The sequence below is a fragment of the Homo sapiens genome, chromosome 19 (assembly GCF_000001405.40).
Source record: "Homo sapiens chromosome 19, GRCh38.p14 Primary Assembly".
Taxonomy (NCBI): domain Eukaryota; kingdom Metazoa; phylum Chordata; class Mammalia; order Primates; family Hominidae; genus Homo; species Homo sapiens.
Window position 1 is genome coordinate 21,177,748 of NC_000019.10, and position 24,141 is coordinate 21,201,888.

Genomic DNA, 24,141 nt, shown 5'->3' on the forward strand with positions numbered 1-24,141 from the left:
ATTGCACTCCTGCCTGGGTGACAGAGTGAGACTCTGTCTCAAAAAACAAAAAGAATTATCTTGGCTAGATGGGGTCTTTTGGGTTTTCATATGAGTTTTAAATTTTTTTTTTTTCTAATTCTGTGAAGAATGTTAGTGGTAGTTTAGTCAGAATAGCATGGAATCTATAAATTACTTTGAGCAGTATGGCCATTTTTACAATATTCTTTCTATCTTTTTTATTTGTTTGTGTCCTCTCTGATTTTCTTGGGCAGTGGTTTGTAGTTCTCCTTGAAGAGGTCCTTCACTTCCCTTGTTAGATTTACTCCTTGGTACTTTGTTCTCTTTGTAGCAATTGTGAATGGGAGTTTATTCATGATTTCGCTCTCTGTTTGTTTATTGTTGGTGTATTGAAATGTTTGTGATTTTGGCACATTGATTTTGTATCCTGAGACTTTGCTGAAGCTGCTTATTAGATGAAGAAGCTTTTGGGCTGAGACAATGGGGCTTTCTAGATCTAGGATCATGTCATCTACAAACAGAGACAGTTTGACTTCCTATTTGAATATCACTTATTTATTTCTCTCGCCTGATTTCCCTGGCCAGAACTTCCAATACTATGTTAAATAGGAGTGGTGGGGAGAGGGCATCCTCATCTAGTGCCAGTTTTCAAGGGGAATGCTTCCAGCTTTTGCCCTTTTATATCGGCTATGGGTTTGTCATAGATCTTATTATTTTGATGTATGTTTCATGAATACCTTGTTTATTGAGAGTTTTTAACATGAAGGGATGTTGAATTTGTTCGAAGGCCTTTTCCGCATTTTTGAGATAATCATGTAGTTTTTGTCTTTAGATCTGTTTATGTGATGAATTACATCGATTTTTGTATGCTGAACCAGCCTTCCATCCCGGGAATAAAGCTGACTTGAATTACATCAATTTTTGTATGTTGAACCAGCCTTGCATCCTGGGAATAAAGCTTTTTGACGTGCTGCTGGATTCAGTTTGCCAGCATTTTATTGAGAATTTTTGCATTGATGTTTATCAGGAATATTGACTTGAAGGTTTGTGTGTGTGTGTGTGTGTGTGTGTGTTGTTGTTGTTGTTTTATTTTGTTATATCTCTGCCAGGTCTTGATATCAGGGTGATGCTGGCCTCATAGAATGAGTTAAGGAGAGGCCCCTCCTTTTCCATCATTTGGAATCGTTTCAGAAGAAATGGTACCAGATCCTCTTTGTGCCTCTGGTAGAATTCAGCTATAAATTTATCTGATCCTGGACTTTTTTTGTTGGTAGGCTGTTCCCGCCTCAATTTCAGAACTTGTCATTGGTCTATGCAGCGATTCAACTTCTTCCTGGTTCAGTCTTGAAAGGATGGATGTGTCCAGGAATTTATCCATTTCTTCTAGATGTTCCAGTTTATGTGCACAGAGGTGTTTATAGTATTTTCCGAACATTGTTTTTATTTCTGTGGGGTCAGTGATGATAGCCCCTTTATCATTTTTTATTGTTTATTGCATTTTTCTCTCTTGTTTTATTAGTCTAGCTAGCAGTCTATTTTATTAGTTTTGTCAAAAAAAACCAGCTCCTGGATTCATTGAGTTTTTTTGAAGGGTTTTTTGGGTCTTTATGTCGTTCACTTCCACTCTGAATCTGGTTATTTCTTGTCTTCTGCTAGCTTGAAGTTTTGTTTGCTCTTGGTTTTCTCGTTCTTTTAGTTATGATGTTAGGGTGTCCATTTAAGATCTTTCTAGCTTTTTGATGTGAGTACTTAGTGCTATAAATTTCCCTGTTAACACTGCTTTAGCTGTGTTCCAGAGATTCTGTTACATTGTCTTTTTTTTTTTTTTTTTGAGACGGAGTCTCGCTCTGACCCCAGGCTGGAGTGTAGTGGTGTGATCTCGGCTCACTGCAACCTCCGCCTCCCAGGTTCAAGCAATTCTCCTGCCTCAGCTTCCCATGTAGCTGGGACTACAGGTGCCGGCCACCAAGCAAGGCTAATTTTTATATTTTTAGTAGAGACGGGGTTTCACCATATTGGTCAGGCTGGTCTCGAACTCCCGACCTCAGGTGATCTGTCCGCCTCAGCCTCCCAAAGTGCTGGGATTACATGTGTGAGCCACCACGCCCGGCTACATTGTCTCTTCATTCTCATTGGTTTCAAATAATTTTTTGATTTCTGATTTAGTTGTATTATTTACCCAGAAATAAAGAGGAGCAAGTTGTTCATTCAGGAAATTCATTCAGGAGTAGGTTGTTCAGTTTCGTTGTAGTTGCGGGATTTTGAGTAGCTGGGATTACAGGCGCCCACCACCACACCCAGCTAATTTTTTGTATTTTTAGTAGAGATGGGGTTTCACTATGTTGGTCAGGCTGGTCCCAAACTGTGTCATGACTCTTTATCCAGCTTGCCCTTCTGTGTCTTTCAGTTGAGGTATTCAGCCTATTACATTTAAGGTTAGTATTTTTATGTGTGATTTTGATTCTGTCCAAGTAGTGCTAGCTGCTTATTTTGCAGAGTTGTTGATGTAGTTGTTTTATAGCATAATTGATCTTTGTACTTCAGTGTGTTTTTGCAATGGCTGGTAATGGTTTTTTCTTCTTAACCTTAGTGCTTCTTTCAGGAGCTCTAGCAAGGCAGGCCTGGTGGTGATGTGCTCCCTCAGCATTTGCTTGTCTGAAAAGAATTTTATTTTTCTCCACTTATGCAGACTTACTATTGTTATTTTGTTAATTGTTGTATTTGCTTCTTGTATCTTTGTTCCTCATTTTCTCTTTTTCTGTCTTTGTGTCTTTGTTGTACTTATCTTGGTATGCTTTTACTTCTTTCTCATTTGTTTTGTGTACTTACGCAAACGTATTCTTGGGGTTACCTTGGGGATTATATAAAACCTCTAAAAGATACAACAATGTATTTTAATCTGGTAAAAAATGAACTTCAGGCCAGGTGTCGTGGCTCACACCTATATTCCCAGCACTTTGGGAGGCCGAGGCAGGCAGATCACAAGATCAAGAGATCGAGACCACCCTGGCCAATATGGTGAAACCCTATCTCTACTAAAAATACAAAAATTAGCTGGGCATGGTGGTGCACACCTGTAGTCCCAGCTACTCGGGAGGCTGAGGCAAGAGAATCACTTGAACCCAGGAGGCGGATGTTGCCGTGAGCTAAGATTGCACCATCCAGCCTGGCGACAGAGTGAGACTCCATATCAAAAGAAAAAAAAAAAAAAAAGAACTTCAGTTGCATCCAAAAATTTTTTCTCATTATATCTGCCTTCAAATTTGTCATTGATGTTGCTAATTGTATATTTTATGTTGTATATTTGCTAACAAATGTTTATAATGATTTCTATTCTTGTACCTTTCAAATTTTAGAGAATAATTAATATTTTTTGCACTATTATTATAATGCTAAGAAATTCCATTTTTGTGTATGTGCATTTTTTTTCCCAGAGAATAATGTCTTTTATATGATGTGTTGTTTTGTTGAATCATGTTATTTTCAGTAGCAGCAACGGTTTTCAGCATCTTTTATATGTAAGGCATATGAAAAGCCAATGTACTTTTTCAGTATTTGGTTATTTTTAAAGGTTTTTTTTCTTTTTACTTGGAAGGACAGATATGCTGATGGTATTATTCTCACTTTATAGCTATTTTTTTCAGGACTTTGACTATATCACACAGTTTCCTTCTGGCCTGCAAAGTTTTTGTTGACAGTTCACCGGCTATCTCATAAGACTATGCTTGTAAATGACATGTCGTTTTTATCTTGCAGCTCCATTCTCTTCTTGTCTGTGACTTTCGAAATTGTGCTTATATATGTGTTTGTTATAAATATCTTTATGTGTATCCTAGTGTATTTGTTGAGCTTCTTCATTTTGACATTATTTTTTCTTTCAGAATTTTTTAGTTATATTTTCCTTTACAATTTCTGTTTTTGGATATTTTAAATATTTTTGTTATTCTCATTTTTTCTGATTTTCTATAGTTGTCTGTGTCCTTATTTTACTCATTGAGTATTCAATTTATTTTAAATTTTTAAAATTAATGTATACATCTTTTTTATGGTTTCTTTCTGAAAATCTTATAATTTTGGTGGAGCGATTTTGCCCTATTTTGTATTCATTGTAATCTTTGATTAATATTTGGACATTAAATATAGCTACCTGTCACATTGTTTATAATGTAGCTTTGTCCTGGCATAGTCTGAAAACAATTATCTTGGTTTGAGATCCTGTGAGACTCTCAAACATGTTCTTTGAATGTGTCTTGTCTAAAATTTTGTGTTTATTTTTTAGTTAAAGGAGTTTCTGTTTCATCTTAATCAGCAGTCATTTGCTGTATCTGTTCCCTGTCTGTGGTACTGCAGTCTCTCTGTTGCTGTAACATTTACCTTTGGTCTCAGCAGAAGTAAACTGTAATTCCAAAATATACCACCATTTCTTTCAGCACTTTATGTTATGGGAGACCAGTTTCTGGAAGGGCCCCTAGAAGCAAGTAATATAGATGTATGTGCCAGTGTTTTACTTGTTTATTAAAAAAGAAACGAAAAGTTAGCAATTTACTTTGAAAGGCACTATGTTGTATTGTTGAGTAGGAAGAACTGTGTTGGGTAAATGTAACAGACTTTTCTTTTTCTTCTGTGTCTTTGCATTCCTGTGTACTCACCTGTGTGCTCACCTGGGGAACTTTACACACTTGTTTATAAGTTGTCCTCAAATATATTTTGGTCAGTATATTTTTATTAGATTTATATGTCTATGAAGGATTTAGGGCCTATGGTATTTTATTATGGCATCTTGTTTATGTAGTTTGTATAATGTAGGTTAGATTTGTAAAGTATGTTTATCAGAGTCTAGTAAGTTGAATAATTTGTTGTTTGTATTTCTTTCAGCTATGTGTTCTTATTTTACCAAAGACCTTTGGCCAGAGCAAGACATAAAAGATTCTTTTCAACAAGTAATACTGAGAAGATATGGCAAATGTGAACATGAGAATTTACAGTTAAGAAAAGGCTCCGCAAGTGTAGATGAGTATAAGGTGCACAAAGAAGGTTATAATGAGCTAAACCAGTGTTTGACAACTACCCAGAGCAAAATATTTCCATGTGATAAATATGTGAAAGTCTTTCATAAATTTTTAAATGCAAATAGACATAAGACAAGACATACTGGAAAGAAACCTTTCAAATGTAAAAAATGTGGCAAATCATTTTGCATGCTTTTACACCTAAGTCAACATAAAAGAATTCATATTAGAGAGAATTCTTACCAATGTGAAGAATGTGGCAAAGCTTTTAAATGGTTCTCAACCCTTACTAGACACAAGAGAATTCATACTGGAGAGAAACCCTTCAAATGTGAAGAATGTGGCAAAGCTTTTAAGCAGTCCTCAACCCTTACTACACATAAGATAATTCATACTGGGGAGAAACCATATAGATGTGAAGAATGTGGCAAAGCCTTCAACCGGTCCTCACACCTTACTACACATAAGATAATTCATACTGGAGAGAAGCCCTACAAATGTGAAGAATGTGGCAAAGCTTTTAACCAGTCTTCAACCCTTAGTACACATAAGTTCATTCATGCTGGAGAGAAACCCTACAAATGTGAGGAATGTGACAAAGCTTTTAATCGATTCTCATACCTTACTAAACATAAGATAATTCATACTGGAGAAAAATCTTACAAATGTGAAGAATGTGGCAAAGGCTTTAATTGGTCCTCAACCCTTACTAAACATAAAAGAATTCATACTGGAGAGAAACCCTACAAATGTGAAGTGTGTGGCAAAGCCTTTAATGAGTCCTCAAACCTTACTACACATAAGATGATTCATACTGGAGAGAAACCCTACAAATGTGAAGAATGTGGCAAAGCTTTTAACCGGTCCCCACAACTTACTGCACATAAGATAATTCATACTGGAGAGAAACCTTACAAATGTGAAGAATGTGGCAAAGCTTTTAGCCAGTCATCAATCCTTACTACACATAAGAGAATTCACACTGGAGAGAAACCCTACAAATGTGAAGAATGTGGCAAAGCTTTTAACCGATCCTCAAATCTTACTAAACATAAGATAATTCATACAGGAGAGAAATCTTACAAATGTGAAGAATGTGGTAAAGCCTTTAACCAATCCTCAACTCTTACTAAACATAGGAAAATTCATACTAGACAGAAACCCTACAACTGTGAAGAATGTGACAATACATTTAACCAGTCCTCAAACCTTATTAAACAAAATAATTCATACTGGAGAGAAACTCTACAAATGTCAAGAATGTGGGAAAGCCTTTAAGCAGTCCTCAACTCTTACTAAGCATTAAATATTGGCCGGGTGCGGTGGCTTATGCAAAATGGCTCCCAGCATTTTGGGAGGCTGAGGTGGGTGGATCACAAGGTCAAGAGATCGAGACCATCCTGGCCAACATGGTGAAACCCTGTCTCTACTAAAAATACAAAAATTATCTGGGTGTGGTGGCACGTGCCTGTATTCCCATCTACTCGGGAGGCTTAGGCAGGATAATCACTTGAACCTGGGAGGTGGAAGTTGCAGTGAGCCAAGATTGTACCACTGCACTCCAGTTTGGCAACAGAGTGAGACTCCGTCTCAAAAAAAATTTATACTGTACAAAAACCCCACAAGTGTGAAAAACATGGCAAAGCCTTTAAGAAGCCCTCAATTCTTAACAGACATAAGATAATTTATACTGGAGAGAAACTCTACAAATCAGAAAGATGTGACTACTTTTGACAACGCCTCAAACTTTTCTAACCATAAAAGTAATTATACTGGTGAGAAATCCTAGAAATCTGAAGAGTGAGATAAAGCCTTTAAATGGTTGTCACACTTCATTGTAGGTAAGATAATTCATACTGGAGAAAACGCCTACATGTGTGAACAATATGGCAAAACTTAATGCTCACACTTTATTGCTAGGAAAGCATTTATACTTGAGATAAATTATACAAATATAAAGACTGTGAAAAAGCCATCATTATCTGCTCACATTTTACTCAACACAGAGAGTTCCTGCTTAATAAAAGCATTATAAGTGCAATTACTGTCAAAAGATCTTTCAGAAAATATAAGCTTTTTTAGTGAAGAGTATTTATTTTGAAGTTGAACATCACAAATATAAAAAGGGTTGTAGTGCCTTTACTTGTATCACAGATCTTTTTGTAGACATTTTCTTCTAGAGGAAAACTCTGAAGCAGTTGATCAAACTTTGTTCAACATCAGGGAATTTATATTGAAAAATTGTGCAAATATAATAAATTTGGAAAAACAATTTTTCAAAAACTACAGCTTAGAAATCAACAGTTATACTAGAATATATTTTTTCCAGATGCAGTAAAAGTAAAATATTTAATCCATAATTAAGTCTATGCAAATATCAGAGAATTTATGGTAGAAATATATAAGGTACTGACACTTCAGATATACTAAATCAGAGTGCTAAGTATAGAAAATCTGAAACTAAAGTTGGTAGAAAAGTTATTTGTATAGAACTTTAAGAGGATCAGAAGGTTTTTTGCAGAGTTATAATTACATTCAAAGTATACTTTATTTCTTGAAAAATATTACAGATTTTTTGAAAATTGAATAATGTCATCATTCAACTCTGAAATTATTTCCTGTTGTTTCTTCATTCCTATTGGATTCACATGTGAAAGCATGGGGTTAATTGTTGCTACATCAAAGAGAGAGATTCTTTTGTTTGTTTGTTCGTTTGTTTTTTGAGACTGAGTTTCACTCTTTCGCCCAGGCTGGAGTGCATTGGCATGATCTCAGCTCACTACAACCTCTGCCTTCTGGTTTCAAGCAACTCTTCTGCCTCAGCATCCCAAGTAGCTGGGATAACAGGTGCCAGCCACCATGCCCAGCTAATTTGTGTATTTCTAGTAGAGATGGGGTTTCACCATATTGGCCAAGCTGGTCTTGAACTCCTGACCTCATGTGATCCGCCCGCCTCAGCCTCCCAAAGTGCTGGGATTACAGGCTTGAGCCACCACGCCCAGCCTGTAGCATATTTTAATAGGAGAATACAATATATAATAGTAGCAGGGTTAAGTAAGGCATCCATCATCTGTAGCATTTCTCCTTTGTTTTACAAACAATCCAATTCTACACTTTAAAAAAAAATTTTTAAATGTACAATTAAATTTTTATTTACCACAGTGTTATTTTTATCGTCATAATAAAAATTATATACGAGTATAAATGAAATTCATTTCTAAATTCTTAATAAATATTTTCTCATGCCAGGTGTGGTGGCTCACGTCTGTAATCCCAGCACTTTGACAGGCTGAGCGAGGGAGTGGATCTTGAGGTCAGCAGTTCGAGACCAGCATGGCCAATATGGAGAAATCCCGTCTCTACTAAAAATACAAAAATTAGCCAGGCGTGGTGGCATGTGCCTGTAATCCCAGCTACTCAGGAGGCTGAGGCAGGAGAATCGCTTGAACCTGGGAGGTGGAGGTTGCAATGAGCCAAGATCACCCCACTGCACTCCAGCCTGGGCAACAGAGCGAGACTCCATCTCAAAAAGTAAAATATATTTTCAAATTTTCTATATATTTTTCTTTGAACATGTGGCCTGTCTGCCTGCAAACATATACAGACTTTTAGTTTTGATTCATATAGAGTTAAATACATGTTAGTCTAAAGACAAATCTTAGGTGTAAGAAAATTATGGAGTTAAGTATGTGTGTGTGAGTATGAGTTTGTACATATTTTCAGAAGGAAAGAATGATACGGGAACAAAAATCATTTTAATATGGTGACTACTATAAAACTAAAAACCTAAAAAATGCTGAAAGCAAATGTATACTTTTTGGTTTGTATTGAATTTATTACTGTACAGTCTATGACTTAGAGTTCTGAATCTTCCCAAGCAAATTCTCTGTATATACTTGCCTGGTACTCATGCTAGACCCATACTTTTTTTGTTTCTTACATTTTTTTTGTTTTATATTTTATGAAGTATTCATTATGTGAGCTGGTCTGCGATTATAAGAATTTTTATGAAATTTAGTGCACACAAAATAATCTTTAGATGTAATTCCAAAAGTAGTGTATTAAGTTACATTTTATTTAGTTAGAGCACTCCATTTTGTTCTTTTAAGAGGAGAACAATATATAGGTTTTCTTTAGTGATTTGTTCCTTTCACTTTTTATAATTGACATAAGCATATTTATTGAGTCAATTTGTTCAGCTAAGTACTAGGGAGGCTTCATTAGTCATGAGGATGTTTTTATATATAAATGTAGCAAACATATATTACAGTTTTCACTGTGTAATAGATTATCCATAATAATTCATAAATATTCCTGCTGAAGTTAGTTTGTAACTTCAAGTCAAAGATGAAAAATATCAATGGTGAAGATTGATTGTTCATATAGAGAGGACATTTTTTTTCCAGACTGTAAAACTGAATCTTGTTGAATTTAAAGAGAAATTCTGGCAGAGGCAGATGAATCACCTGAGGTCAGGAGTTTGAGACCAGCCTGATGAATATGGTGAAACCCAGTCTCTACTAAAACTACAAAAATAGCCAGGCATGGTGGTGGGTGCCTGTAATCCCACTCGGGAGGCTGAGTCAGGAGAATTGCTTGAACCCGGAGGTGAAGATTGGAGTAAGCCAAGATTGTGCCGTTGCACTACAGCCTGGGCGACAGAGCGAGACTCCATATAAAAAAAAAAAAAAAAAAAAAAGAGCTGGGCGTGGTGGCTCACGCCTGTAATCCCAGCACTTTGGGAGGCCAAGGTGGGCGAATCACTTGAGGTCGGGAGTTTGAGACCAGGTGACCAACATGGAGAAACTCCATCTCTACTAAAAAATACAAAATTAGCCCGGTGTGGTGGCGCATGCCTGTAATCCCAGCTACTCGGGAGACTGAGGCAGGAGAATCGCTTGAACACGACAGGTGGAGGTTGCAGTGTGGCGAGATTGCACCATTGCACTCCAGTCTGGGCGACAAGAGGGAAACTCCATCTGAAAAAAAAGAGAAATTCTTTTATTTTCTACTTCTCTTCAGATTTGTCTTATGCATTTTCCAACTATGTATGCATCACAGCTATTCTTTTTCTGAGTTATAGCTACAGTTTTCTTACTGTTGTCTTCATGCCATTTCATTTCACATGGTACTTTGTAGATTTTGATGAGGAAGTTGGTATTTTTAGTGCACACAAAAATTGGTTTTAACTGTAGAGTTTGCTTATCAGAACAGTTAAAAGGCAGCCAGGTGTGGCTCACGCCTGTAATCCCAGCACTGAGATAGGCCAAGGAGGGTGGATCACTTGAGGTCAGGAGTTTGAGACCAGCCTGACCAACATGGTGAAACCCTGTGTCTACTAAAAATACAAATTTAGCCACGCGTGGTGACGCACGCCTGTAATCCCAGCTACTCGGAAGGCCGAGGGAGCAGAATCGCTTGAACCTGGGAGGTAGAGGTTGCGGTGAGCCGAGACTGGGCCACTGCACTTCAGCCTGGGCAACAAGAGCGAAATTCTGTCTAAAAAAAAAAAAAAAAGATAAAAGGTGCAATACTGTCCACAGGTAAGATAATTAAATTAGTCAGCTTTGTTTTTAAAAGAAAAATCTTACTAGATTCTTATACAAAGTGTGGCAAATATAAAACTTGCTTGAAAATACAGAAATTAAATTTTTAAGAGAGTTAATGGTAAGTAAACAATTTTAAAGTTAATTTTCTATGATATACTTACAGCACAACTTATATTTCCATGCAGAATCTTTTATTTTTAAGTGTGAGTGTTAAAGGTTACAAAATAATGAAATGACTTCAGTGGATTTAAAATTTTGAAAAATAATGTCTTTTCTATATTGATTTTACAATTTGGAGAAATTTTTCACTCATTTTTTATATATTTTTTAGTGGGAGAGGTTTAGTCTACAGTTTTTATTTTTAGTCACCAAACTGTAGCCAACTCTTGGGTCATTTTCTCTGAAAAACATTTGGAGATCATGACAGCGTTTGGATTAAAACATTTCTGTTACTTTGCATGCAAACTAGTTTACTGTGTTCACAGAGTGGCCAGTCATGGGACCATAAGCAACACCTGCTCTTTGAGTGTCTTTCATACCGTTACCATCAGCACCAGAAACTCCAGGTGCCCCAAGCTTAAAGTAAAAATCCTAAAGTACGTTGGCTCCTCCCATGCAATGTGCTGGGTCCAAACCATGCTGTTAAATATCAGAAGTTTCTATGGTTATGATTAAAAAATTAAATGACAATAATAGCCCCAAAACTATATATTTTTGATACTATTTAACCAAGATTATCACAAAGACACAGTATTTGACACATTGTTATTCTTCTATGTTTTATAAATATTTTAATGTGACAGGTAGAATCTGTACTTTTTCTGTAGAACGTAATATTTTGAAGTATATATATAGTTAAATTATTATTTCTAGGTAATTAATAATTTATCTCACATTGGTCAGACATGATGGCTCATGCTTGTAATCCCAGCAATTTGGGAGGCCGAGGCAGGCAGATCACATGAGGTCAGGAGTTCGGGACCAGCCTGGCGACCATGGGGAAACCCTGTCTCTACTAAAAATACAAAATAAGCAGCGTGTGGTGACACATGCCTGTAATCCAGCTACCCTGGAGGCTAAGGCAGGAAAATGGCTCAAATCTGGGAGGTGGTTGTTGCAGGGAGCCGAGATTGCACCACTGCACTCCAGACTGGGGGACAGAGTGACTATCAAAAAAAAAAAAAACTTTACCTCATATGGTGAACATTTTTGTTTTGAGACCACATGACACTGTCATCATTTTTCAAAAATCCAAATACATTATTATGAACTATAGTCACCATGTTGTGCAATAAATCTCTTGAACTTATTTCTTCCATTTGACTATAATTATGTATTATTTCACAAACATGTTTCCAGCCTTCCATTTCTTATAAATAACTTGCATCTGATGGTCACCATTTTACTCTCTACATCAATGGGATTAAGTTTTTTGGAATCCATGTGTAAGTGAAATTATGAGACACTAATCTTTCTGTGCCTTGCTTATCCCAACTAATACAATGTCCTCCAACTTCATCCATGTGATTGAGAATAATAGTTTTTGTTTTTTTTTTAAGGCCAGGAGTGGTGGCTCACACCTGTAATCCCAGCTCTGGGAGGCCAAGGCCAGTGGATTGCTTGAGCCCAGGAGTTTGAGACCAGCCTGGACAACGTGGAAAAACCCCATCTCTACTAAAAATACAAAAACAACAAAACAAAAACAAAAAACACCTCAGCTGGGTGTGGTGGTGCAGGCCTGTAATCTCAGCTACTCCAGAGGCTGAGGCATGAGAATCCCTTGAACCACAGATGCAGAGGTTGCAGTGAACTGAGATCATGCCACTGCACTCCATCCTGGGCAACAGAGTGAGACTCGGTCTCAAGAGGGAAAATAAGGCATTTTTCTCATTTAAATAATAAATAGTATTCCATTATGTATATCAACCACATTGTCTTTATTTACTCATTAGATGTTGAACTGTTTATTCTGTATTTTGGCTATTGTGAAACAAGTGCTGCAAACAGAAGTGCAAATGTTTCTTTATTCTTATTTTGTTTTGGATATATACCCAGTAGTGCGATTGCTGTATTACCTGGTAGTTTTTTTGATAAATCTGTATTTTGTTTTTCGTAATGGCTATCCTCATTTACGTTCACACCAACAGTGTGCAAGGATTCCGTTTTCTTCACATCTTTACCAACACTTTTTTCTTTTTCTTTTAATAAGAGTTATTCTAACAGGAATGAGTTGATATAGGGATTTTTTTTTTGGCTTGTCTTTTTGTGATAATAGTCAACATTGAGCATTTAAAAATATATCCGTTGGACATATGTATGACTTTTCTTGAAAAATATTTATTTCAGCTATTTCCTTTTTTTTTTTTTTCTTTTTGAGATGGAGTTTTGTTCTTGTTGCCCAGGCTGGAGTGCAATGGCACAATCTCGGCTCACTGCAACCCTTGCCTCCCGGATCAAGTGATTGTCCTGCCTCAGCCTCTCAAGTAGCTGGGATTACAGGCAAATGCCACTGCGCCCAGCTAATTTTGTATTTTTAGTAGAGACGGGGTTTTTCTATATTGGTCAGGCTGGTCTCGAACTTCTGACCTCTGGTGCCCACCTCAGCCTCCCAAAGTGCTGAGATTACAGGCATGAGCCACCGCGTCCGGCCTATTATTTTTAATAATTTTTTATTGTTGTCATTTTAAATACACTTTTGATATTAACCTCTTGTCACATGTATAATTTGCAAATTTTTTCTCCCATGTTCTAGTTGTCACATTCTGTTGATTGTATCAGATTTTGTCCAGCAGCTTTTTAATTTGAAGTGATCTGACTTATTTTTCCTTTTGTGTCCTGGGATGTTTAGGTTAAATCAAAAAACTTGCGGCCAGGCGCAGTGGCTCACACCTGTAATCCCAGCACTTTGGGAGGCCGAGGCAGGTGGATCACGAGGTCAGAAGTTCGAGACCAGCCTGACCAACATGGTGAAATCCTGTCTCTACTAAAAATACAAATATTAGCCGGGCGTGGTTGCACGTGTCTATAATCTCAGCTACTCAGGAGGCTGAGGCAGGGGAACGGCTTAAACCCAGAGGCGGAGGTTGTAGTGAGCCAAGGTCATGCCACTGCACTCCAGCCTTGGCAACAGAATGAAACTCTGTCTCAAAAAAAAAAAAAAATTTGCTGCCCAGAACAATGTTATAGGGCTTTTGCTCTATATTTTGGCAGTAGTAGTTTCAGAGTGTCAGGCCTTACATTTAAGTACTAATTTATTTCGAGTTTATTTTTACATATGGTGTGAGATGAGGGTCTCAATTTTTATCTCTGCATGTGGATATAAAGTTTTCTTAATTGAAGATTCTGTTCTTTCCCTTTAAAGTCACCTGTATTTAAAATCAACTGTAAATACATGGATATATTTCTGCTGTTTTTTTCTTCTGCTCCATTGACCTATGTCTCTGTTTTTATTCAAGTACCATACTGTTGGTTACCATAGCTATGTAGTGTATTTCAAAGTTAGTCACTTCTTTTGTCTTGATTGCTTTGGCTATTCAGGGTCTTTTGTGATACCATATGAATTTTAGATATACTTTTAAAACTTTTCTATGAAGTATATCACGTATTTCGATAGAGGTTGCATTATACCTGTAGGTCATTTTGTGTAATACAAATATTAATGTCAGTTCATGAATAGTCCATTTATGTATTAATTTCTATTTAGAATGTAAGGCGTTTCAACTTTTTGGTTAAATTTATTTCAAACTATAGTTATTGTAGATGTAATTGTTTTTGAATTTCATTTTGGGATAGTTATTAATGTAGAGAAATGCTGTGACTTTTTGATGGTGCTTTTGTATTTTGAAAGTTTAATAAATTTTGTTTATTTATTTATTTATTTTGAGATGGAGTCTCGGTCTGTCACGCAGGCTCGAGTGCAGTGGCACGATCTTGGCTCACTGCAACCTCTGCCTCCCTGGCTGAAGCGGTTCTCCTGCCTCAGCTTCCTAAGTAGCTGAAACTACAGGCGCCTCCTACTACACCCAGCTAATTTTTTTATTTCTATAGAGATGGGGTTTCCCTACGTTGGCCAGACTGGTCTTGAACTCCTGACCTTGTGATCCGCCCACCTCGGCCTCCCAAAGTGCTGGAATTACAGGCAGGAGTCACTGCACCTTGCCTGTTTATAATTTTTAAGATTTACTAAGGTCTTAGGCTTTTTTATACTTCAGATTATGTATAGGGATAAAAGAAAATTATACAGGAATAATTCCTTTTCCTCAATTTGGATGCCTTTGATTTTTTTCTCTAATTTCTTTGTCTTGGATATTTAGTACCATGTTTAGTAAGTCTGACTAGAGTGGGCATCCTTGCCTTGTTCTAGCTCTTAGAGTAAAAGCTTACAACATATCCCTGTTTAGTATGTTGTTAGCAGTTTTTTTGGTTATATATGGCATTTATTGGCTGAAGTGCATTTGTTCTATACCTAATTTTTTCAGCGATTTATCATAAGGGAATGTCAAATTCTGTCAAACTTCTATTGTGCATCCATTTTTTTCTCTTTGCACTCTGCATATATTTAAGTTTTAGAGATGTGAAATCACAACTAATTCTGCATACATACAAAAAAAGTCAGAGACTACTATGAACATCTCTATGCCTGCAAAATAGAAAATTTGGAGAAAATAAATAAACTCCTGGAAACATACAACTTTCCAGGATTAAACCAGGAAGGAACAGAACTCTTGAACAGGGCAAAAATGTATAAAATATATAATGAAATTGAATTAATAATTTAAAAAACCTACCAACTATAAGGAGCCCTGGATTATATAAAATCACAGCCGAATTTTAACACATATACAGAGATGAGCTGGTATTACTTCTACTGAATGTATTACTGAATGTATTCCAAAAAATCCAGGTGGAGTTCCACCCTAACTCATTATATAAAATCTGTATCGCTGCACGAGGTGGCTCACGCCTGTAATCCCAGCACTTTGGAAGGCCGAGGTGGGCGGGTCACCTGAGGTCGGGAGTTTGAGACCAGCCTGCCCAACGTGGTGAAACCCCATCTCTGCTAAAATACAAAATTAGCCAGGCGTGGTGGCATATGTCTGTAATCCCAGCTACTCGGGAGGCTGAGGCAGGAAAATCGCTTGAACCCGGGAGGTGGAGGTTGCAGTGAGCCGAGATCGCGCCATTGCACTCCAGCCTAGGCAATGAGTGAAACTCCATCTCAAAATAAATTAATTAATAAAATAAAAACCTGTGTCATCTTGATACCGAAGTCTAGTGAAGACAACAACAACAAAACTATAGGCCAATATTTTGGGTGAACATTGAAACAAAAATCCTCCATGAAATAATAGCAAGCTGAGTTCACAGGCAAATCAAAAAGTTATTTTGCCACACTTGTGAACTTTATATCACATGTGCAAGGATGTTTCATCATATACAAGTCAATAAGTGTGTTTCACCATACAATTAAAAGCAAAAATTTATATGATTAACACAATAGATGCAGAAAAAGCATTCAAGAAAATCCAGTATTCATTTATGAAAATATTCTCTAAGCAATGATGAAACATACCTCACAATAATAAGAGCCATCTATGACAAATCCTCAGCTAACATACTGAACAGACAAAAGGGGCATGCATTTCTCATTAGAAAAAAAATAAGACTATCTAAACAATTCTATTTAACATAGTTCTGGAAGTGCTGGATAAATCTAACAAAATGAAAAAATAAATGGCATCCAAATAGGAAAAGAAGAAGTGAAATTACCTTCACTCATGATATAATTCTCTACCTAGAAAACTTTAAGGATTTTACCAAAAGACTCCTAAGGTTAAAAATGACTTCAGCAAAGTCTCAGGATACAAAATTGATATACAAAAATGAATAGCATTGCCTTACACCAATAACATTCAAGCTGAGAACAAAATCAAGAACAGTTTTCTTTACAATAGCCATAAACAAAAAATAATATACTTAGAAATACATCAAACCAGGGAGGTAAAATATCTCTACAAGAACTAGAAAACATTACTGAAAGTAATCAGAGACAATTCAAATAAAAAAGCTTTCTATGCTCATGGATTTGAAGAATGAATAGAAAATGTCTATGCTGCCTAGAGCAGCCTACAAAATAAGTTTTTGTTTTTTTATCAAAATGTCGATTACTTTTTTTTTTTTTTTGAGACAGTGTTGCTCTGTGGCCTAGGCTGGAGTGCAGTGGTGCGATCTTGGCTCACTGTAACCTCCACCTCCTGGGTTCAAGTGAGTCTCCTACCTCAGCCTCCCAAGTAGCTGGGATTACAGGTGCCCACCAGCACACCTGGCTAATTTTTATGTTTTTAGTAGAGATCGAGTTTTGCTGTGTTGGCCAGGCTGGTCTCAAACTCCCGGCGTCCCAAAGTGCTGGGATTACAGGTGCGACCCACCATGCCTGGCCCAACCCCATATTATTTCTGGTAACAAAGCACAGAAACATGATTTCTCGAATTTTGCTAGGATTTTAATTTACAAAAGAAAGGTGAATGCCATTAAAAGGTGTTTAATACACTCCCACCAGAAACAAGAGGCAAGGCAGGCCCTGGGGGCCTCACAAAGGCGGTCTTATGCAAGGGTGAGAAAGCAGAGTTATCAGGGAGGTGGGACTATTGCTTTATGAACGTGATGATTGGAAGCAAAAACGTGGGGCTTTTTCCTATTGAATACAAAGTAAAATAATGAATGCTGGTGTCAGTGGTTGGGAATAACAACATTTGCAGGCTCATGAGAGCTGCCTGACAAAAAGCGTGTAAACAACAGTGATTGCTCCTGTGGCCCTGTGATTCAGCAGGTTTATGGAGCAGTTAAGAATCGCAGATGTCAAATGGCCAACACAGAATCTAACGACATGCTTAATACAAATTATTATTAGTAGAAATGCTGAATTGCTTCATTTCTGCAATTTCTGCTGCTTCTTAAGATGCTTTTAATGAATAAAATCTGCCTTAAAATTTGATACCTGGTAACTTCTCTCTGTGAGTTTTGAATTGGCTGATGTAACCAAAATGCCAGCTCTTGCCATCTAACTACCATTAAAAGGAACTTCTAAAGCTCCGAAGTGGTCAACAGTTTCACTTCCAACTTTTTTAAAAGATACACAATTTTCTAAAAAATTTTTCTTTATGGGCGATTGAATAGTTGGGCTTTGGCTAATTCCTCATTAGCAATAGAATTATGTATATTTTGCAAACTCTAATACAGAACACTTAATGTATCAGACAACCATGATTATGATGTATATACCTGGTATAAACAATCTTTTTTGCATATTGAATTCTGCATTTTTTTCTTCCTTGATACGTATGAGATTCACCAGTACCAGTTTTTCTCTTGTGGTGGCATATAGTTGATTGTCATTTGCATTATCTATTAAAAACCTGTGGCAGCTCATGGTATTATTGACCATATGTTCTAGTGTCTTCTTGCAGATTTAAATATTTTATTGCAGTGTAAAGTTTAATATTTAGATGTGTGATACATCTTTGGATAATCTGTAATTAAATTGATCTTTTGTAATGGTGATAGTGATTAGCACACACTGAAAATCCAGCAAAGCAATTATTTTTCTCTTTTTAACTGGAAATCATATTCGTAAGTTGTGGTAGATATTATCATCAGTGTATTCATGATTCGATTTATATTTTGTGTTATCTGGTTATAAATTTTATATAGCATTCAATTTGACAAAATATAAATCTATTTGATTTGAATTTAATGGTGTGTGTGTGTGTGTGTGTGTGTGTGTGTACTTCCTTGAACTTTAGGAAATTCTACAAATCTTATACAGATATGAATGTATCAGGCTTATATTTTTTGCAAGGCTATATATACATTTCTTCTGTTTATTAAAATACTGGAATTGGTGTTATGTAGATATAGTTGTAGATATCAGAATAAAAATGGAATGTTGTGAAAATTACAACTTAATAAATATTTATGGCAAATAAATACAAGATAAAAATTATACATCTTTACAAGATAGTTATTTACAATTGCTTAGAGCTTACCTGTCCAGCCAAGGCCTATCTTCTTCAAGACTGTGCTGAGGCCTGGCACGGTGGCTAATGCCTGTAATCCCAGCACTTTGGGAGACCAAGGCAGGTGGATCACCTGAGGTCAGGAGTTCCAGATCAGCCTGGCCAACATGGCGAAACCCAGTCTCTACTAAAATAAATAAATAAATAAATAAATTAGCCAGGCATGGTGGTGTGTGCCTGTAATCCCAGCTACCCAGAAGGCTGAGGCAGGAGAATCACTGGAACCCAGAGGACAGAGGCTGCAGTGAGCCAAGATTGCACCACTGCACTTTAGCCTGGGTGACAGAGCAAGACTATGTCTCAAAAACAATAATAAAAAGATTGTGCTGAAATTGCACCTGCTTGGTTACAGTCTCTACTGGGGAGAAATAACCCTGACCGAGAATGATCAAAAAAAGAATAAATTTTTGGCAGAAAAATTCTCTGTGTAAAAAAACAGAGTTGTGTAAAAGAAAATTATGTTCAGAGAAAAACAAACTGACCAATTTTACCACAGTTATTTTTAAGAAAATAAATGCTTCAAAGTCAAATTAAATTTATTTAAAAATTGCAAATATAGTGGTGAATGAAATTAAAGGTCTCGGTCTTCACAGAGTTTACATTGTAAGGTTTGAAAAATAAAGACAATTTGAGAATAAATAATTCTTCATATAATGCTGGTAGCATAGGTAAGTTGGTACTACATCCTGGAAGAGGGCTCCCCAATGCCTATACAAGCTGAAGATACAAATACACTTTAGTTATATTTGTGGTTAAATATCTACATAGTTACAAAAATTTTTCTTTTAAAAATGCACAAGACTGTTTACAGAAGCACTGACCAATCTGGAAAATCACCAAAATGTTCATAAAAAGTGGAATAAAGAAATTGTAGTGTATTTATATAATGGAACATTGTAGATCAATGAATATAGAAAGCACAACTTGCAATATTCACAACTTTCAAAGCAAAGCACAACTACAGGCAGCAACAGAGATCTATCTCACAAACAATGTTGAGCAGAATAAGCTAGCCAAAAATGAGAATTTACTGTATTAATCCATTTATTTAAAGTTCAAAAACAGGCAAAACTCATTTATTGTATAAATAGCTAGAATATAAGTTGCTCTTAGAGGAACAGTGATTGAAAAGGAGAATAAAATGTAGCGGGATTTTTAAGGAATCAGAGAGACCGATGGGGTACAGGAGGATATTTATTAATTATTTAGGTGCACCGGCCCAGTCAGATTAACATCTGATGGACTGAGCCCTAAACAAAGAGTTAAGTTACCTTTTAAGCATTTTGTGGGGCAAGGGGAGATCTGTGCATGGAGAAGCGTACTACAGAAGCAAGAAACAAAGACAGTTATTCAATTGAGACATGCATTACATCATTTCTTACTTTTCAAGGAGAAACATGTTTTGCAACTTGAGTTTATCTGTCTAGTGACCTTGCAGCTGCACAGCTAGGGAAAGAGAGTCTTCACAATGCTTGGGAAAGGAGAAGAGATAAGGCTCACTAGCCACAGAAAAACAGGCAGTTAATTCTTAAAGGACTCCAGCTCTTTCTCTTTCTCTGAGGGAAATGGGTTTTGTTACATACAACTGAGTTTCTGCTTATACACTCTAATTTCTTTTAATTCCTGTTCCGTTCCCCACTTTGGTGCATTTTTATAACAGAGGTGTTAATAGAAAGCACCACTATTTGCCACCTTCTCACAGAGCTGAGCTGCTCCTTCTGGTAGCGGCTGATATTTTGTTAATACCATCAACTGCACGGTAGTGTGTCGGGTTACTATTGCCTCTATAGTTGACTGAATACTCATAATAAACAGGGGTAAAAGGCAAGGGAGGATGAGGCAGACGCCAAGAATAAGCAAGAACCCACCAATGAGGATTTTGAATCCTCCAAAGGTTGAGAACCATCCTCCAAACAAGGAATCTGGGGACCATCCAGACCAAGTCTGAACTGGAACATGGGCCAGCCTGCGCATTGTAGCTATGATTTCCATGACCGCTTGGTCATTATCATCAATTTCTAGGCAACAGTTGGTTCAATTAAATTTTCCACATACTCCTCCTTCTGAGGCTAAGAGGTAATCTAAAGCCAATCTATTATGATATATAGCATTTCTCATTTGTTTTGCTTGTATTGCCAATAAATCTAGTGCCCTTGATGTTTCATTGGTTATAATTTCTAGGACTGCCTGCAACCTTATGATGAGGTTGAGCATATAGATTGGGTTGTGGTACCCCTGTGACCCATCTTGCGCCCAGGTAGCTGGCCCATAATATTTCGTGATTCAGGCCATTCATTTTCTTTCCAGTTTCCTATGTCCACATCGTTTTTGATATTTGTGTCTATTTTTGTGATTATGCTTCTTCTAGTTCTTCCTTTATTTTTATCATAAACTGGATATCCTAAGAGTTCCTGTTGCTTTAGAGGAATTAGAAGGATGGCTTGACTGTTCCTAACACACATGCCCCTGTCCATTTAGCTAGCAGTAGCTGATATGCCTGTGCTCCACAGATCCAATACAGGCCAGAGGGTGCCTTTCAAGCATTTGCAGCCTCTAGCTGATGCCAAGAGTGGCTTATAGTAGACAATCAAGAGAAAGGGTTTGGATCTGGTAAGTAGGAGTCAGTCTGGGTGTTTCTTCATAGTTTTGTTTTTAGTCTCATCATAATACTGTTGCCCTAGGCAGGTTGTTTCTCCTACTGCCTCTGTGAAAGCCTTTCCCCATTGAGCGATACAATACCTTCCAATTATGGAGGTTTTTAACAACCAGACACTGGCAAAGGCTGTTGGTTCACTGGCAGGGTTAAGCGAAGTGAAGTTATCTTATGGTATTAATTATTTTGCCTCCCATGGCCACTAGTCCCCCATATTATTTCCTCCACATACACAGCATGAGGAAATTCCTAAGCTGCCAGCTATGTTTTCAGCTAGTTGAGCAAATAAGTGTTTTGTTGATGGGGGAAACTCAGGCACTGTCTGATCAAAATGCTTATAGAATGACTTATGGGCCTGGAATTGTGAGGTTGGATGCATTTGAGTCCATCTAGTCTTTTTGACAATTAGTAGTGGAATTCCAAGGCCTGCTCTTTTTCTATGAACTCATAATAGTGCTGTCTGTCCTGTAGAACAAAAAGGTAGCTCTGGCTTTAAGACAGTAAAATTTAAAGGATTGCATGTTCTTGTCTTACAATCTGGTTTGTTTGACATACCACTTAGCAGAGCAGTCCTTCCTGAATAAAGGTGTTGGAGCTGTATTTGTGTAGACCATGGAATGTTACAGTCTGAGCATCTGATTTGTGGTTCTCCATACAGATGTTTAGGACTGCTGCTAAGCCTCTCTTGTGTCAAACCACTGCAGACTCCTTCTGTTTTTTTTAGGATTTGAACATATGCAGCATGGCAGGCATCAAAGTACAAGGAAATAGGCTCTTTATAGGAGGGAGGGGCTTCTTTGGTTCAAGCTATAAGCTCTCCTTCTTTTTCTCCCTCTGATTTAATATGTACCTCAAACCAGAATTCATAGGGTAAGAGCTTAGGGTCATAACATAAATATAGCTGATTATTTCCTGGGTCACAGACTGAATAGGTGGTCTGGTTGTATGTGCAGGTTCCTAACTTGGTTCCTGTACATTCATAGTAGGTATGGTACAGTAGAGTTTTAACTATGGTATTCGTTACCCAGGTAGTATGTACACAGTGTGAGCATCCTTCTAGAGATTTCTCCCCTTTTAGTATAGGCAGAAATGGTAACAACATCAGTGTATGTAATAGAAACATGCTTATACTACACATGTGCATGGCAAACCTTCCTCTGGGCATAGATATTTGCTGTAATAACATAACAACAGAACAATCAGTATTGACAGAATTATAACTAGGCTTATAAATTGTATCCACATTTACTTATCTGGAGATGGTCCTCTTAGCTTCAGCTGTGCATAGACTAGTCAGCTTCTGGGATGTGACTAGAGTAGAGCTTGCAGGATCCTCAAGCTTCAGCCACGCGTAGACTGACCAGCTTCCACTGTGATCAGAGCAGGGCAGTTGTCCTTCTTACTGGTGGTTGCGTTTCGCCGTAGGACTATTCAGGCGGGGTGATCTGTGTCTTGTTGGCTAATTCATTGGTCATTGTCAGGAGTCACTGCTGCCACTGGTTTCGGCTGGCTATGGTGAATCGAAGGTGTGACACCTGCGACTTTAACAGCAGTGGGAGTAGACATAATTACAATATGGGGCCCATCCCATAAGGGCCCCAGGGTTGTTGGATTCCACCTTTTAACCCAGACAGAGTCTCCTGGCTTATGTGGATGCACTACATCTCTTAGACTTATAAGTATCCTTTCCCTTACCCAGCCTTTTACCTCCTGCATTGCCACTCCTCAAGCCTGCATCTGTGTTCTAAGGGTTAGCTCTCCTAACTCCTTTAAATGCCCTCTAATTTGATTAATGATTGCGGGTGGCCTTCTGAACAATATTTCATAGGGCAAGTACCCAGTTTGTTTTGTAGGTGTACACCTCACCTGGAGGAGGACCATGGGCAAGACCTGATCCCATCATAAGTGAGTTTACTGGCAAAATTTTTTAGTAGCTGTTTGAGTGTCTGATTCATCCGTTCCACCTTCTCTGAACTCTTTGGTCAGTAGGCTGTGTGCAATTTCCATTTGATCTTTAAAAGTTGAGTCAACTGTTGTACTACTTCTGCCGCAAATGCAGGACCATTGTCTGATCCTAGGGTTAAAGGCAACCCAAACCTTGATATTGATGTCTTTTAGTAGCACCTTTGTCACCTCTTGTGCCTTTTCAGTTCTGATGGGGAAGGCCTCAACTCACCCCGAGAAGGTGAAACAAACACTAGCATATACCAGTAACCTCCTGCTCAAGGCAACTCGGTAAGGTCTACAAGCAGGTTCTCACAAGGCACAGCTCCCATTTCCTGAATTTCTGGGGGTCGAGTAGGTCCTTGTTTTGGATTAGATATTGTTCGCAGGATAGACATTGTTCGCAAACAGCACGGGTGATGGCAGAGAGCCGTGGCACATAGAAGTGTTGACCTATCAAAGTCTCTAGGGCCGTGCTTCCAGCATGTGTTCCTTGATGGATCTGCTTCACAAACCTTGGGGCTATTGTCTCTGGGACAGCTAGCCTCCCATCAGAGAACAGCCACCATCCACCTTTAATATATTTTCCTGTTTCCTGGCCAAACCAAGCTTTTTCAATTGAAGAGTAATTGGGTACCTCTGGCAAAGGGGGCTCTACAAAGAGAGGCATTGCTAGAGTTATTTCTTCAGGTAAAACCTTGCTCATTGCTGCCCACCTAACTTCTTGGTCTGCCCTCCTGTTGCCCTGTGCCTCATAGCTTTTCCTAATTTGGTGTCCTTTGCAATGAATGAGAGCCACCTTCTCTGGAGCCCATATGGCTTCTAATAATTGCAAAATTTCCTCTTTATTTTGTATTTCTTTTCCTTCAGTAGTCAGAAGTCCTCTCTATTGTATATTGCCCCATGGGTGT

The 24,141-nt window shown here is 37.6% G+C and overlaps 1 protein-coding gene and 1 pseudogene across 14 annotated transcripts in view; both read left to right on the plus strand.

The window, feature by feature from the left end:
* Nucleotides 1–18,306, plus strand: part of ZNF431 (zinc finger protein 431) — a 54,014-nt gene extending 35,708 nt beyond the window's left edge. For 4 of the 14 annotated variants that reach the window (XR_007066665.1, XR_007066666.1, XR_007066668.1 and 1 more), the window contains 2 exons: nt 4,876–6,850; nt 13,407–14,435. Coding sequence is in view for 4 of the 14 variants with exons in the window: in NM_001319124.2 (NP_001306053.1) it covers nt 4,876–6,287 (1,412 nt within the window). In the remaining 10 variants the exon portion in view is untranslated. Of the gene's footprint in view, nt 1–4,875 lie in introns of all 14 variants that reach the window. The other 10 variants (XR_007066664.1, XR_001753620.2, XR_007066667.1 and 7 more) reach the window with 3 other exon arrangements.
* Nucleotides 10,793–11,345, plus strand: VN1R82P (vomeronasal 1 receptor 82 pseudogene; annotated as a pseudogene).